Here is a 17,731-nt window from a genome sequence, read left to right on the forward strand (position 1 = left end):
CCAGGTAGCCTTATAATTTTGCTTCAACCATCAAATGTAATTTAGAAAAATCAAGAGGATAAGTTAGTTTATTAAATATATTCATGTTTTTGCTTACCATGTTCTTCCCTTCTTCCTGATGTTCCAAGATGTTCTATTATAATATCCATTCTGTTTAAAGAATTTCCCTTAGCCATTTTTAAGGGTAGACCTGCTGGCAACAAAGTCTCTTAGTTTTTCTTCATGTGAAAATGTCTTGATTAACCTCTTATTCATGAAGGGTATTTTTGCTGAACGTAGGATTCTCGGATAAGTTATTTTCTATCAACATCTGGAAAGTATGCCACTTCCTTCTAGCCTCCTTAGTCTCTGATTAGAAATCCACTGTCATTTAAATTGTTTCTCCCTTATAGGTAAGATACTACTTCTCTCTCACTGCTTTAAAGTCTTTTGCTTTGCCTAGTTTTCAGAAGTTTGTGATGTGTTTCGGTGTGGATTTCTTTGAGTTTAGCCTATTTGGGATCCACTTGACTTCTTGAGCCTGTAGGTTTATGTCTTTTGCCAAATTTGAGATGTCTTCAGACACTATTTCTTCAAGTACTTTTTTTTTTTCCCCCTACAGGGTCTCATCGCCCAGGCTGGAGTACAGTGGCACAAACATGGTTCACTGCAACCTCCCACTGCCTTCCAGGCTCAAACGATCTTCCCACCTCGGCCTCCTAAATAGCTGGGATCACAGGCACTCACTGCCACGCCCAGCTAATTTTTGTATTTTTTGTAGAGACAGGGTTTCACCATGTTGGCCAGGCTGGTATGAACTCCTGACCTCAAGTGATCCACCCACTTGGCTTCCCAAAGTGCTGGGATTACAGGCCATATTACCCAGCCAGTGTGGTACTCCTGAGCTCAAGGAGATCCGCCTGCCTTGGCATCCCAGAGTGTTGGGGTTACAGGCATGAGCCACTGAGCTTAGCCTCAGGTATTTCTTTCTTTCTTTCTTTCTTTTTAAAGGTATTGTTTGTATTGAATGTGTTGATCTGGGTATGTCTTTCTGTGTCACCCAGGCTGGAGTGCAGTAGCGCAATTTCAACATCTTGGCTCACGGCAAACTCTGCCTCCTGGGTTCAAGTGATTCTCCTGCCTCAGCCTACAGAGTAGCTGGGACTACAGGTACACGCCACCATCCCTGACTAATTTTTGTATTTTTACTAGCGACGGGGTTTCGCCATGTTGGCCAGGATGGTCTCAAACTCCTGGGCTCAAGTGATTTCCCCAGACTCACCTCCCAAAGTGTTGAGATTACAGGTGTGAGCCACCACATCCAGCCCTTAAGTACTTTTAAAACCTTGCTTTCTTTCTCCTCTCCTGGACTTCTGATGACAAGAGTGTTAGATCTTTTGTTATAGCTCCACAGGTCCCTGAGACTGTGTTCATTTTTTTTTTGTTTTAGTCTATTTTCTCTCTGTTCTCGAGTTGGGTAATTTCTATTTTCCTTTTTTTTTCAGTTTACTATTTTTCCTCTATTCTCTCCATTTTTACTGTTGAACTCATCCACCGAGTTCTTTGTTTTGATTGTTATATTTCTCAGTTCTAAAATTTTCATTTGGATCTTCTTTATGTCTTCTATTTTTTTGCTGAAACTTTCTAGTTTTTCATTTGTTTCAAGTGTGTTCACTGAAGTATTTTTATCATAGCTGCATAAAAATCTTTGTCAGATAATGTTAATATGCCTGTCGTCTCAATGTTGGCATCTATCAGTTTTCTTTTTTCATTCAGTTGAAAATTTCCTGGTTCTTCATATGGCAATTGATTTTCTACCAAAATGTGTACATTTTGAGTAATATGATACTCTTGATCTTATTTAAACCTTCTATTTTAGCTGGCTTTCTTTGATGCTACCAAGGCAAGAAAAGGGGTGCCTTCACCTCTTTACTGCCAGACAGGGGTAGAAGGCAAGGCCCTCCACATCATTTTTATTGACACTGCGGGGAGAACTACCCTCACTGGAGATGAAAGTCCTTACTCCTTACTCTGCCTTCCCTTGACACTGCTCCACTGGGTGGATGAATGGGGGAAGGGAGGGTCAATTTCCTCACTACAGCCTTGCAAAGATGGAAGTCTAGACTCCTCACTTGGTCTTTGCTGGCATGTTTGGGAGTTGAGCCATAGTTTTTTTTCTGTAATATTTAGCTACAGTAGAATGGCTATTGTCTAAAAGAGTGGTCCCCAAACTTTTTGACACCAGGGACTTGTTTCGTTGAAGACAATTTGTCCACAGACCTGGGGCAGAGAATGGTTTCAAGATGATCCAAGCAAATTACGTTTATTGTATACTTTATTTTTATTATTATTACATTGTAATATATAATGAAATAATTATGCACCTCACTGTTATGTAGAATCAGTGGGAGCCCTGAGCTTGTTTTTCTGCAACTAGACTGTCCCCTCTGGGAGTGATGGGAGGCAGTGGCAGATCATCAGGCATTAGATTCTCATAAGTAGCATGCAACCTAGATCCCTCGCGTATGTAGGTCGCTCTTATGAGAATCTAATGCCACTGCTGATCTGACAGGAGGCGGAGCTCAGGAGGTGCATCAACAAGTGATGGGGAGTAGCTGTAAATACAAATGAAGTTTTGCTGGCTTGCCCACTGCTCACCTCCTGCTGTGTGGCCTGATTCCTAACAGGCCACGGACCCGGAGTTGGGAATTTGATGTAGGCCAGGCACAGTGGCTCACGCCTGTAATCCCAGCACTTTGGGAGGCCAAGGCGGGTGGATCATGAGGTCAAGAGATTGAGACCATTCTGGCCCACATGGTGAAACCCCGTCTATACTAAAAATACAAAAAAATTAGCTAGGCATGGTTGCATGCGCCTGTAGTCCCAGCTACTTGGGAGGCTGAGGCAGGAGAATTGCTTGAACCCGGGAAGCAGAGGTTGCAGTGAGCCAAGATCACGCGACTGCACTCCAGCCTGGGCGACAAGAGTGAAACTCCATCCAAAAAAAGAGAAAGAATGGTCTTGGTTATACTCACGTACTTATCTTCCAGAAGAACTTTGGACTCAGCATTTAAAATCCCCCTTTTGAAAATCCCATTAGAGTTTTGATTAGGAATATATTGAATTTATAGATTAATTGGAGGAGTGTATATTTTTTTTTTGAGGTGGAGTCTTGTTCTGCCACTCGGGCTGGAATGCAGTGGCACGATCTTGGCTTACTGCAACCTCCGCCTCCCAGCTCAAGCAATTCTCCTGCCTCAGCCTCCCAAGTAGCTGGGATTACAGACGTCCAGCACCATGCTCAGCTAGTTTTTGTATTTCTAGTAAAGACGGGGTTTCACCACATTGCCCAGGCTAGTCTTGAACTCCTGACCTCAGGTGATCCGCCCACCTTGGCCTCACAAAGTGCTGGGATTACAGGCGTGAGCCACTGTGCCAGGCCTTGGAGGAGTATATCTACTGCATTAGAATATTGAGTCATTCCATTTAATACCAACGACTCTTTATATTTATTACTCCTGTATTTTATGTCCAACTTTGAAAAGTCATAGTTTTTTTAAATTTCTTGTTAGATAGATTCTTATATCATCACAGGTTTTTTTTTTTTTTTAAATTGGAAGTGGGATATTATTAACTAGCTATTTCTAATCAGTAATTGTCAATGTCTACAGAGTCATTAGTTTCTGTATATTCATCTTATATCTGGCCACTTTACTATGTCTTTTCATTAATTCTTCCAGTCGCTTTTTTCCCCCCTACTAAGCATCCTCTTCCCCCACATTTCTGGTAACAGCTGCAGGAGTGCATATACAATACAGTACAAGTCAATCATAGCGTCCCATGCTCCTGGATGAAAGGTTGGCGCATGACCCAAGACAAACCAATCAAAACCCTTCTTGGGATTTTTATGGCTGCAGTTGATATAAAAAAAAAAGGCTTATTTTTTCCCCTAGTTATGGTGTTCAGGTACCATCCTGGATGCCACTGGTAGCCAGCGTCCTCTAATTGCATGGAGAAACCCATTCTCATTTAGGAGACAATGAGGTTGAAACACAAAGTGGGAAACCAAGATAATAGAGAGAGAGATAAACTAGCAGTATTTGGTCCTTGTTCCCAATATATTCCTGCCTTTCCCATCTCATGACACAGTAAGTCCCCTTTTGTTTAAATTGAGTGGGTTGTTTATTTGCAACTAAAAGAATCTTGACCATACAGAACTGGTACCAGAAGTTGGGTGATGTAAGCAATTTGAAAAGTGAACCTGGACAAGTAGTGTGGAATGCAATGAAAACTCCCTCTTTCCATCCTGGGAAGGTAGCTATTCTCATGGTAGTGGATCAGCTGGGTTAACCATTTCCTGTTGTACCTTGGGAGTCAGATTATGTGGCCAAAAGTGCCGAAATTATTGGTGGACTTGATGGAAAATGTTAGATATTGAACATAATTTACTTCCTGTGGTCTTCAATATAGTGCTACAAGATAATAAAAATCTTTCTTTTAAGCTGGACCATCCAAGGAGGTTGGATAATTAGCTTTGTTAAGAAAGATTCAATCTATCTGTGGCCAATGATCTAATACCACCAAGAGACAATTGTGTGCTGTGCGTAACTGCAAAAGCTGAATTTTCTTCTCTATGCTCAAGTTAGGAGTCATCAGAGGAAATGATCTATTATACCCATAGTCTATTTTTTGTTTTGTTTTTATTTTTTGTTTTATATCTCTTTGTTCTACATGCACAGTGTCGAATAAACTGCCTTGCAGTCCCAGCAGCCCTCCCCTTATTGGAGTCTCAGCAGCTCCTGGGGCTATAGACTTATTTGATACCAGCAAGAAAGAGCAAGTCCATTTCACAGTGTACCCAGCAAAAGTCCTGTGATTCACTCCGGGCCGTTGTAGATCAAGTGCCCATCCCTAAGCAATCATTTTGACTGGGAGATGGGAATATATTGAGTGGCACATCCTAGATTTGGGAGTGGAAACAATCCCAGATTAAATATCCTGTCTGAGAATGGGACTGGGGAGATGGTTCCCCAAAGGAAATTCAAGGTCTCAATCCCAGACGGATGCTGGGAAGTGAACCCCAGATGTTCTAAGAAAGAACCTGAACCTAAGGCCTAGATGGCATCGTCAGAGCCTCCAGGCCTATTTCTAGGAGACAGGCACCACCATAGGCAGGTTCAGAGTCAAATTTCATAACTGGGCAAAATTGTTAGCATTGGTTCCTTGAACATGGTATCCCCAGGAATTGAAATGGCAGACAGTCAGCTAGGATTTAAGGGAGTTGTGTCACTAGAGAAATCCCAGGCCTGGCAAATAGGGGCCTCCGATGGCTCAGCCCTGAGGTCATTCCCACTCTATGCCAGCAGGAAGTGGGGTACTTGAGGACTTGAAACTCCTCCTAGGTCTGGCCATGGAGGGCAAAGGACGAGGTAAATTTAGGCAGTGGCCACAATCAAGGCAATCTGATCTGCTAAGAAACAACTGATTTCACTGCCAGGGAAGTGAGTTCTTGCAGGTCCTATCCTCCCACCTGGAGTGAATTTTCTAGACTGTGGACGACTGTTACTTTCCCTCCTCTCCCCTTCCTTTTTAAAAATATACACTACTTTTTTTTTTAAAACAAAAATCCTAAGTGCTGTTTGTTTGTTTGTTTTGAGACAGAGTCTTGCTCTGTCACGCAGGCTGAAGTGTAGTGGCGTGATCTTGGCTCACTGCAACCTCCGCCTCCCGGGTTCAAGTGATTCTTGTGCCTCAGCCTCCCAAATAGCTGGGACTGCAGGTGTCTGCCACCATACCCAGCTAATTTTTTTGTACTTTTAGTAGAGACGGGGTTTTGCCATGTTGCCCAGGCTGGTTTTGAACTCCTGGCCTCAAGTGATCCACCAACCTCGGACTCCCAAAGTGCTGGGATTACAGGCATGAACCACTGTGCCCGGCCTTAAGTGCTCATTTTTATAAAACAAAACAACATAGAAAGTTACAAAGTGAAACCTGAGTCTGTCCCCAGACCCTCCCTCTTTAGGTCCACTCTGACTCTCTAGAGAGTAACACCTTTAAGAATTAGGTGTGAATCTTCCAGTGCTTTCCCTGTATACATACAAATACAAGTATACATCTAAACCATAGAAGAGAGTAAAATTGAAAAAGTCTCCCTCTATCAATTCTGAGGCCCATTCCCAGAAGTAATTATTTTTAACTATTTCTCTTTTTGGCTTTCCTGATAGTACTTCCATGATGCTAGAAAATATGCTTCTATCTCTGTGCTTAATCCATCAAGTTTAAACAGTAGCTTCTGACTCCATGTAATGAAAGGTGATGAATTTAGCTTGCTTTCTCTGCTTCCTTCTTTCAGTCCCTGCCAGTCACATATTTATTTACTTCTTCTTCTATTATTTACTTTTAGAAATTTAAATAATATATTTCAACATCTATTTCCTGACTTCTTGTTGGATCATTGCCTGTACAAAAATGATTTTGTTTTATTCTCATACTTGATTGATAGTTTGGCTGGGTATAATTTCCTCTCAATATCAGTTAGGATTAAGGTTAGCTATAAATAAGAGACTCAAAATAGCAGTGGCTTAAACAAGTTGAAGTTTATTTCTTTCTTTTGTGAAAGACTGGAGGGGACTAGTTTCCTCCCAGTTTTCCAGTGTGTCACACTTAAGATGTGGCCCTTCTCCTCATGGTTCAAGAGGATGGCCTCATATTGGCTTTTTTTTTTTTTTTTTTGAGACGGAATCTCGCTTTGTTGCCCAGGCTGGAGTGCAGTGGTGTGATCTCGGCTCACTGAAACCTCTGCCTCCCGGGTTCAAGCAATTCTCCCACTTCTGCCTCCTGAGTAGCTGGGATTACAGGCGCGCACCACCACGCCCAGCTAATTTTTGTATTTTTAGTAGAGACAGGGTTTCACCATGTTGGTCAGGCTGGTCTCGAACTCCTGACCTCATGATCTGCCCACCTTGGCCTCCCAAAGTGCTGGGATTATGGGCGTGAGCCACCGCATCCGGCCCTCATATTGGCTTTCTAGGCAGCAGGATGGAGGAAGGTGCAAAGAAGGAAGGGACAGCCGGAACTTAGTCACATGGCCACACTTAGCTTCATGGAAGCCTGGATGTGGAACCTTCATTCTGGATGGCCATGCACCCAGCTGATTTTTTTCTTTTTTTTTTTTTGAGACATGGTCTCACTTTGTTGCCCAGGCTGGAGTACAGTGGCCTGATCACGGCTCACTGCAGCCTCAACTTCCTGAGCTCAAGTGATCCTCTTGCCTCAGCCTCCAAGTAGCTGGGAATACAAATGCACACCACCACACCCAGTTAATTTTTAATTTTTATTTTTTGTAGAGACACGGTCTTGCCATGTTGCCCAGGGTGGTCTTGAACTCTCAGGCTCAAGCAGTCCTCCTGCCTCAGCCTCCTGAAGTGCTGGGATTACAGGTGTGAGCCACTACACCCAGCCAAATATCAGGTGTTTGTGTTTCTTTGTTTTTTTGAGACAGGGTCGCACTCTGTCACCCAGGCTGGAATGTAGTGGCTTGATCTCTGCTCACTGCAGCTTCCACCTTCTGGGCTCAAGGGCTTCTTACCTCAGTTTCTTAAGTAGCTGGGATTACAGCCATGCACCACCATGCCCAGCTAATTTTTGTATTTTTTGTAGAGATGGGGTTTGGCCATGTTGGCCAGACTGGTCTCGAACTCCTGAGTTCAGGTGATCCACCTGACTTGGCTTCCCAAACTGCTGGGATTACAGGTGTGAGCCACTGCACCTGGCCAACTATCAGTCTTAATGCACCCTATACTCTTTGAGGGTTTTGCTCCACCTTCTTTCTTTTTGGACAAGGTCTGGCTCTGTTGCTCAGGCTGGAGTGCAGTGGTGCAATCATAGCTCAGTGCAGCCTGGAACTCCTGGGCTTAAATGATCCTCCCACCTCAGCCTCCCGAGTAGCTGTGGGACTACAGGTGTGCACCATCACGCCTAGCTCGCTTCCTTCTTCTTGCATCAGGTGTTGCTTATGAGATGTCAACTGAAAATCTGATTTTCATTTTACCTTTGTAGGTCATCTCTTTTTCCTCCTAGAAGTCTTCAAATGAGAGAGAATGACTTATGCAGAGCAATTGGGATGCGGGAGCACAAACCATTTCCTCACCATTCGCCACTGACTCGTGGTGCTTGTCCTCCCCACCAGACTCCGTCGTTCGCCTGCCTTCTGTGTCTGCCGCTCAGTGAACGTGGATGTCCTCCAGCTCTGGCTCGCCCTGAGTGATGGCATCCTCCTGTGGCTTTAGCTACCGCCCGTGAGATGAATCCCAAATTTATCTCCACAGCTTAATCCCTTTTCTCAACCTCTAAGGTACAAAATTATCTAGTCATCCACTGGGTATCTCCACCCGACTGACCGACAAGCACCTCCATCCCCCCCATGTGCCAATCTCAACTCTCCAGTGCCTCTCACCTCAAGCTGAACCTCCCATTTGTCCCTGTCTCAAGGAACTGGGCAAGTTTGCCCTTTATCCCAAGCCAGAACCTACCATTTCTGAGGTCTATACCTCTGTATGTTACTGTCCCTCCCTGAACTTTCTTCTTCCTTTGCTAATTCTCATTCATCTTCCATAACTCAGTTGAGGGACAATGTTTTTAGGAAAGCGTTTCCTGGTTTCCTCCTGCCTCAGTCTGTGTTGGGTGTCCTCTCTTGGGCTCCCAATGTCTGGAGAGTCCCTGTGCCCCATCATCACTGTATACTTCCTTTTTTTTTTTTTTGAGACAGAGTTTCTCTCTTGTCACCCAGGCTGGAGCGCGATGGCGCAATCTTGGCTCACTGCAACCTCCGCCTTCGGGGTTCAAGCAATTCTCCTGCTTCAGCCTCCCGACTAGCTGGTATTATAGGCATCTACCACACCTGGCTAGTTTTTTATTTTTAGTAGAGTCAGGGTTTCACCATGTTGGCCAGGCTGGTCTCAAATTCCTGACCTCAGGTGATTCGCCCACCTCGGCCTCCCAAAATGCTGGGATTACAGGTGTGAACCACTGTGCCCGGCCCATCACTGTATACTTTCTAATCATCTGAACCCTCACTGGGACTGTGAACTATGTGAAGTTAGACACTGGATCTCATTTTCGAATCTCCAGCTATAGTGGGACATCTGGCACATACAAGTGGCAGCTTCTTTTTTGTTTGTTTGTTTTGAGACGGAGTCTCGCTCTGCCGCCCAGGCTGGAGTGCAGTGGTGTGATCTCAGCTCACTGCAACCTCTGCCTCCTGGGTTCAAGCAATTCTCTGCCTCAGTTTCTCGAGTAGCTGGGATTACAGGCACCCGACAGGTAGCAGCTTCTATGGTTTGCTGTCCAGCCCATTTTTTGTGCACCTCCTGATAACTGCACCCCCATTTCTTTGAGGAACTGCCTCTCTCCCTCTACATGGTCCTGAGGAGCTGAGCTGTGGTGCTGTCTTCTACTTCCACCTCCTCTGCAAAGGCGGGCATGTGACCAGGCTGGGTTAATCAGTTTTTCATGTCCCTGGCAACAGTGGTTAGACCAATGGGTATCAGTGACCCAAGCAGGACCAATCAGATTCTTTTTTGGAATTACCCTACAGACACTGGAAGGAGGTCCCTTTCATGTTGGGATTGCTAGTTGAGATGTTATAGGCATGGGGCTGCAGGTGGCCATCTTCCCGCCTTCTGGAGGGAGTCGGTGTGTAGAAAAAAGGCAAGCAGACACAAGTGGAGATGAGACATGGGCAAGGATGGAGCCCTGGTGGCCTTGTGTCCTGAGTTCCAGTCCTGTTGGTGCCTGTTGCCCTCCTTCAGCCCTTTAGACTCTTAGAGTACAGTGTCCTCCCAGTGTGAGCCAGCAAGTTCCCTCTTAAAGTTGGTTTGAGTGGGTTTCTGCTGCCTGTAACTAAAAGAGTTCTGACTAATAGAGGACTCCACACAAATCTAATGAAAACACTCATAAACTAAGTGAACCATCTCAGGCGCCTCTCTCCCACCCTCTGAGGTGGTGCAGCAAGACCTCCTCATCTATGCTCTTTGAAGAGGCTGATACTACCCCCTGCCTGCACTTGCAGTCTCCAGTCTGAACTCTGCAGCATGGCAAGTGAGACCTTTGTGATCTGACCTCAACTTCCCCAGCAAATTTCCCATGCTCTTCCTAGGCAGTCTCTGTTCCAGCCAGTTCCTTGCACATAGGTCACTGAACTTGCCCTGTTGTTTCAGATGGCTGCATGTGCCTCACATTGATGCTCTTATCCTAGCTGATTAATCCTGACCCACCCTCCAAGACCAATCCCAAGGGCATCTCCTCAAAAGCCTTTCCTGCCCCACCCAAGCATAGTTCAGCCCCCTTTTCTGCAGTAATCACCCCCCACTGCAAACCCATCACATGAAATCACAGTCATTGCTTACTCATCTGTCCTTCCTCTACTATGCAGGGTCCCTCAAGGGCAGAGGCATGTTCTTTATCTGCCTTTGTAGCCCTGTCTCCCAGCACTCATAGTATATTGTCAACAAACACATGTTGTGACTGGTCTTGGGAAGAGACTTCATTTCCTTCTCTATAAAATGGTGGAAAGGGAGTTCTTCTGACCCTGCACACCCCCAGGTTTCAGGTTTCAGAAGAGAGGCAAGTCTTATGATCATCCATCAGGACCCACTCCATGCCAAGAGGGTGGAGAGCAGAAAGACACTGTGGACCTCATCGGACTAGCCCGTGTCTACACTGGCTTCTGGTACAGTTGATGATGGGTCCATTTAACTTAGAGTACCCTGATTCTCCCTGAGAGTCTCTGAGCTTTGAGCAGCCCAGTCTCCTCCCTCATTTTCCACCACCAGATGTGACAAAAAGAGAGGGGAGGTTCTAGGAGGTCTCCTGACCCTCCATTCATGTGTCAGGACAGAGACATCCTGGGGAGGTGCTGGAGGAGCTTTGGGGAAGTCAGAGAAGAGGACTGGGAAAATTCTCTCTGTTGCATGCACTCAAGTCCCTGGCTGTGACTGTGTTACTGTATGAGCCTTCCCACACCAGTGGGAGGCAGTATAGTGGAGTGCTTAACAGCAGAGAATCTGGAATCCAGAGTAGCTGTGCAGCTTTAGGCAAGTCACCTAACTTCTCTGTCCCACAATTTCCTCATCTGTAAAATAGGGATGATAAAAGTAGTTACCTCACAGGGTAGCTTGTGAGGAAGAAGAGTTATTTCTAAAGCACATAATGACTGCTATTAGTTGCTTATATATACAATAATAGGGTTTCCTGTGTTGAAACTTAATCTTGGGACCCATGAATTCTTTTTGTCCTTAATAAAGAGACCACTCAATGGGCCCATGAGCAGAGTGGGGGTGGGATGGAAATGGTTATGAAACTGCAGTCATGTGTCCCTTAATGACGGGTAGGGATGCGTCGTTAGGTGATTTCATTGTGGTGGGAACATCAGAGTGTACTTCCACAAACCCGGATGGTATAGCCCACTTCACACCTAGGCTATGCGGCATAGCCTATTGCTCCTAGGCTACAAACGTGTACAGCATGTTACTGCACTGAATACTGTAGGCAATTGTAACACAATGGTAAGTATTTGTGTATCTAAACATATAAAATGCACAGTAAAAATACCATATTATAATCTTATGGGACGACTGTCATTTATGCGGTCCATTCTTGACAAATATTATGCGGTGCATGACTGTGCATGGAAGATGGAAAAGACATAGTGAAATTCCTCAAGCATCCACAAGAGGGCTCCCCAATCTCCCCAAAGCACCCACTTCACTATGATGAAGAGCCTCGTAGGACTCATTGCCTTTTCTTCTACTTGGGTATCTATCGAAGCAGGTCAGTGAGAATCAGGCCACAAATGTGTGATGATGGCTGAAGGTGCCGCCTAGTGATGGCAAATGACCCATATAGAAGCATCTCCTAACTCAGGCTGTGTGCACCCCAATACACACCACCTCTTATCCCGCAGAGACACAGATATCCCCAACCTTTAGCCCTGTCCCCCAGGACACTGGGGAGAGGGAAAGTCACATTCTCTGTGGAAAACTATGCCTGTTCCCTCCCCCACGCCCACCCCTGGGAGTCAGGCCCCTCCACCAGCCTCACCCACTGGGCCCTCATAGTGATCTGGCCCCTAAGCAGCCACAGACCTCTCCCCAACCACTCCTGCCTCCCCAGCTACCTGAGCCTGACCATGGTCTGGGCTAGGTCATGTGGGTCTAGCTCTGGCCCTCACCTCTGGTTTTTGGGAGAGAGTTGTTAGTGGGATGGGAGTGAGGTGGGGAGATGGGAGACATCCCTGTGTCCTGCAGAGAGGGTGAGGATTGGGGTGAGAACAGGGTGGTGATTAGGCCCACTGCCCAATTCAGCAGAGAACTCATGAGTGACAAGGGACGCCACTGCTCTGGCGTGTACCTAGGAAGCGGGAGAGAAGGTGGAAGATCAGAAGAGAGGTCACGCAACCCTCCCTCCCTACAATGCAGGCCCAGGCCACCTCCCTGAAGCTGGGCTCTGTGGGGATGCAGCCCGCAGGGATCCAGACGTAGCGGAGTCACTCCTGACCCCTCACCCTCCTTTCCCAGCTCTCACATGCGTAGAGGGAGTGAGGGGCAGAGGAAAGAGCACTGAATTCTTCAGGAGGCCTGGGTTCTAGGCCTGCTCTGTCATGCACTGTCATCGCCCCGCTGAGGTTCAGGTTCCTCATCTGTAAGGAAGGATATGACACCATCCAGCCCCAGCAATGGCAGATTGGCTCTCATGGATGATGGAATCAGAGTTTGGAAGGGAGCGGGGATAAGGGCCCTGCCAACTGTAGATGGGAACCATAGTTCCTAAAATTACCTACCAGTTTAGTTGCGGCAGGAGCAGAGCAGACCCTTAGTGGAGTCTAAGGTCCACCATCACTCTCTTAAAAGACAGGGTTACTTCGCCATCAGTTCCTGGGACAGAGCACCATCCCGTGTCTGCCATCTGACTAATCCTCCTCTCCAGCTACAGAGGCTTGGGCTGTGGGGAGTCTTGCCCCACCCACCTCAGATACAGAAGACAATGTGGTTAAAAGAGGCCAGAAAGTTCTAGAAGAGCTGGCAAAGATGCAGGTTGAGAGGACAGAAATGGGCACTTGCCCCCAGGCATCACCTTCAGCGCACACTCTGGGACCGACCCGGGTGGCCCAGGGGTGGGATGTGGCGGGGACATGTGGACCCCGAGGCGCCTGCAGGCCGGCGGGTGTGGACAGCAGCCTTGCAGGAAGGAGCAGCGCGGGGCAGAGCCCGGGGCTCTCGGTGCAGCAGGCCGGGTGGCCACGGGGCAGAGCCGGAGGACCAGAGACGCCCGAGCGGGAGGGACCCGGCGCGCCTTGGCCTCGATGGCCTGCGCCCTGAGCGGCGCGGACCAGTCCGCTGCCTTTCTCGGCTTCCTGGGGGCTGCCGGGCTCGGAGCACGCGGAGAAGGCGCAGGGTTCGCAGCAGCGCTCGGACTCAGTCCCCCAATGGCGGGGAAGACCGGCTGGGACCCGGGCCGGGGGCCAGGGAGGCAGCAGAGTCTATTCGTGGTCCGTCCGCACACAGCGGGGTTCCGCTCACCAACAGTGACGAGGGGCGCGGCGGGACCCGCAGAGAGAGCAGGTCCCTGGCAGCCGTCATCTTGGTGGCCCTCTACCACCCTAGCTACTGAAGAGGCTGAGGAGGCTATAGGATGGCCACAGAAAAGGCACCTCAGGTCCCCTCAATTAAAGTATTGAGGATCAAGAGGTGGTTGGATTAGACGAAGGAGGGTTAGACCCTTTTTTTTTTTTTACTTTTTAAGTTCTAGGGTACATGTGCACAATGTGCAGGTTTGTTACATATGTATACATGTGCCACGTTGGTGTGCTGCACCTATTAACTCGTCATTTACATTAGGTATTTCTCCTAATGCTATCCTTTCCCCAGCCCCCCACCCCAAGACCGGCCGCGGTGTGTGATGTTCCCCGCCCTGTGTCCAAGTGTTCTCATTGTTCAATTCCCACCTACGAGTGAGAACATGCAGTGTTTGGTTTTCTGTCCTTGTGATAGTTTGCTCAAAATGATGGTTTCCAGCTTCATCCAAGTCCCTGCAAAGGACATGAACTCATCCTTTTTTATGGCTAGGAGGGGTCAAGGACCAATGGCCTCTTTCCAGGCTCAAATGCTCCTTTGCATTTCTTTTGATCACTGTTGTTTTTTTCTTGCAGATCAAAGTGATGAAAGTCAATTTTAGAAAATTTGAGAATTTACAACAAAAGTAAGAAAATTATAAATTGCTCCTAATGTTATCACCAAGAGACAATCTTATTGTCTTTATTAATATTAAATTAATATATACAAAATCACACTGTATTTAAATTTGGCTGGTCACGGTGGCTCAGGCCTGTAATCCCAGCACTTTGGGAGCCCAAGGAGGGAGGATCGCTTGAGTCCAGGAATTTGAGACCAGCCTGGGCAACATAGGGAGACTCCGTCTCTACAAAACATACAAAAACTAGCCGGGTGTGGTTGTGTGTGCCTGTAGTCCTAGCTGTTTGGGAGGCTGAGATGGGATGATCGCTTGAGCCTGGGAGGTTGAGGCCGTAGTGAGTGAGCTGTGATCACACCACTGCACTCCAGCCTGGGTGACAGAGTGAAACCCTGTCTCAAAAATAAACAAACAAACAAAAAAAAACAAAAAAACCAACATTATATCAAGAACATTTTCCCATATCATCAAATAATTTATAAAAGCATGATTTTTAAAGTCCATATTATATTTAATTGGAAGAGTAGATGACAACTTATTTAGTCAATTCCTTATTGATAGAAGGTTAGATTGTCAATCTCTAAATAGTCTCTAAATTTTGCCACAGCCAACATCCTTGCACATGAATCTGTGCCAACATATGCCTATTCTTTTAGGATAAGAACTAAGACAAGAACCATTGGGTGAAATATTATGAATTTTTTTTCTCAAATTTATTTTTATTCCAAAAGAAGTACCAGCTCCTTGTAAATGATATAACCAGTCCTAAAGGACCCAGAAAAGAACACTGAAGTCTCTCTCCACTCTTTGTAAACTCCCCGGAGGTGACAGAGCCCTCATTTTTCCAGGAAGAGGTCAAGATTTTCCTGTGTGCATTGTGAGGTAGACATACTCTTGTATATATATGTATATGGCAAGGAACAGCAGATCACACTTATAACCCCTTCTTTCTCTTTTTAAAATTAAATACATCATTTTGTGAAAAACACACATTTGGCCAGGTGTGGTGGCTCATGCCTATAATCCCAGCACTTTGGGAGGCCAAGGCGGGTGGATCACTTGAGGTCAGGAGTTCAAGACCAGCCTGACCAATGTGGTGAAACTCCGTCTCTACTAAAAATACAAAAATTAGCTGGGCGTGGCGGTGAGTGCCTGTAATGCCAGCTACTCGGGAGGCTGAGGCACGAGAATCGCTTGAATCTGGGAGGCAGAGGTTGCAGTGAGTGGAGATTGCACCACTGCACTTCAGCCTGGGTGACAGAGCAAGACTCCGTCTCAAAAAAAAAAAAAGAAAAAAAGAAAAACACACATTAATTGTCAACAACAACAACGAATCAGATCAAACTGGGAAGGAGAGTAGAGTGTGAAAAGCTGGGGACTGAAGGCCTCTTCGGACTTGCAGTGTCCCTGTGTCGCTGTGTCGGTAGGAGTGGTCACAGTGATGCGAGCCTGGCATACTCCCTGTGAGTGCCTATCAGGAGAGGTCCCCAGACTCCTGAGGCTGGAGTGCTGGAGGGGAGACCCCAGAGTTGGGGGGGGGGGGCGTGTAGATTGGGTGGAAGTCATTATCTCAGTGCCATTAAGGTCCATGATTCTGGGGAGACAGGGGACCCAAGTCGCAGGGGAAGGACTGGCCTCTTTGGCAGAACCTGGAACAAAGACTTGCAGGTCCTCGGCCTGCCTGGGGTGCACGGCTTTCCAAGCCAAGGGAACTCTCTCAGCAAACTAAAGGGACCCTCCCTGCCTGGACATGGGCCACCTGATCCGAACAGCTCTGGCTCTGTTGGGCTGAACTGCTCTCCTGCACACAGCTGGGCCACCACCCTTCAGGCCCTCCCTTACTAGTCTGAGAGCCCAGAGGCCTCCTCTGCCCTCCTCAAGCAGAAGACCCTCCTCTATGCCAACCCCCAGAGCTGAGGAAATTCCAACAACCCAAGCAGCTAGTTGAGAAGAACCATGAGTGGGCAAAGATCCCAGGCCATTTAAGATGACTGTGGTTCAAAGGAGAGATCATGAAGCGGGACCTGAGGAAGGCTGGACCATGCATGGGTCACCCGTGAAGGACAATACCCCCAGGCCATCGCACCCTGGACTGTCCCCAAGGACCTGTGTGAGGGGCTGTCACTTGAGGGACTTTTAGATGATACCCATGACCGTGCTGTAGAGATGCTTTCCATGTCGCATATTAACAGTTGTGGGTCCAATGGGGTGGGTTTCCTGCCCGGGAGTTCTGCTCTGACACTTGAGGCTATGGTTGACATCCTCCTTCCAACCCCTAGGGTGAGGTCTTACTCACTCTAGGTAGGTGACCACGCATCTCAGCTCAGTCTGCTGCTAATTAAATGCTCAGCTGTTACATGGAGATAGAATTAAATCAGGAGTCTGAGGAAGCTGATCATTATCACAACAATTATGTTCTGTTTGGTGCCTACAATGGCCCAGGCATTTTACATCGCTTTTTACTTTTTTAGTGTTTATAATTGCCTCCCAGGTAAATACTCTTCCCTGGTTTACTGAAGAAGAAGTGAAGTTCAAAGAAATTCAGTAACTTAACCAAGAAAAAATCAGTAGCAGATTATGGGCTGGGGCTCATGTTTTTCATTTCTCTATGTTCTTAAAACTTTTGAAAGACTTATATAATATTTTTTACATTTAAGTGAAATTATAACAAGGATAACTTTACCCTAATATGACAACAAAAGCAAATTGCTTGGAAAACCTGGAAAAACCAGAACAAAGTTCCATGTGGGTTGTCACTTCTAAGACTGACTACATCCCTGAGATGAGCTGTCAGTGATCATCAAATCAAAGATCACTGTCCCTGGAATCACCTGAGAGGAAATGAACAAATTAACAAAAAAGAAAAATAAGAAAGCCCAAAGACTGGAAAACAGTTGTGCAGTTTCTTATAAAACTCAACATACCCTTACCATATGCTCCAGCAATTCCACTCCTCAGCATTTATCCCAGAGAAATGAAAACTTCTGTTCACAAAAAAGCCTGTACACAAATGTTCATAGTGGCTCTATTTATAAGAGCTCCAAATTAGGAAAAACCCAAACGTCCTTCAATGAGTGAATGGATGAACAAACTGTGGTTCATCTACACCATGGAATACCACTCCCAGTAAAAAGGAACGGGTTCAGCAGGTGAGGTGGCTCACGCCTGTAATCCCGGCACTTTAGGAGGCCGAGGCAGGCAGATCACTTGAGGTCAGGAGTTTGAGAACAGCCTGGCCAACATGGCAAAACCTTGTCTCTACTAAAAATACAAAAGTTAGTCGGGTGTGGTGGCAAGCGCCTGTAATCCCAGCTACTCAACAGGCTGAGGCAGGAGAATCACTTGAGCTGGGGAGGTGGAGGTTGCAGTGAGCGGAAATCGCATGACTGCACTTCAGCCTGGACACCAGAGTGAGACGCTGTCTCAAAACAAAACAAAGAACAACAAAAAACAAACAAACAACACACACACACACACACACACACACACACACACACACCAGAAC

The 17,731-nt window shown here is 46.6% G+C and overlaps 1 annotated feature.

The window, feature by feature from the left end:
• Positions 12,895–13,408: an enhancer, noted in NCBI's record as "H3K27ac-H3K4me1 hESC enhancer chr17:45855331-45855844 (GRCh37/hg19 assembly coordinates)". NCBI's record gives its function as "activates a minimal SCP1, AML or CMV promoter by ChIP-STARR-seq in naive H9 embryonic stem cells {active_cell/tissue: H9 hESC(naive)}" and the evidence as "EXISTENCE:reporter gene assay evidence [ECO:0000049][PMID:30033119]".

This window comes from Homo sapiens, chromosome 17 (genome assembly GCF_000001405.40).
Source record: "Homo sapiens chromosome 17, GRCh38.p14 Primary Assembly".
NCBI classification, from domain to species: Eukaryota; Metazoa; Chordata; class Mammalia; order Primates; family Hominidae; genus Homo; species Homo sapiens.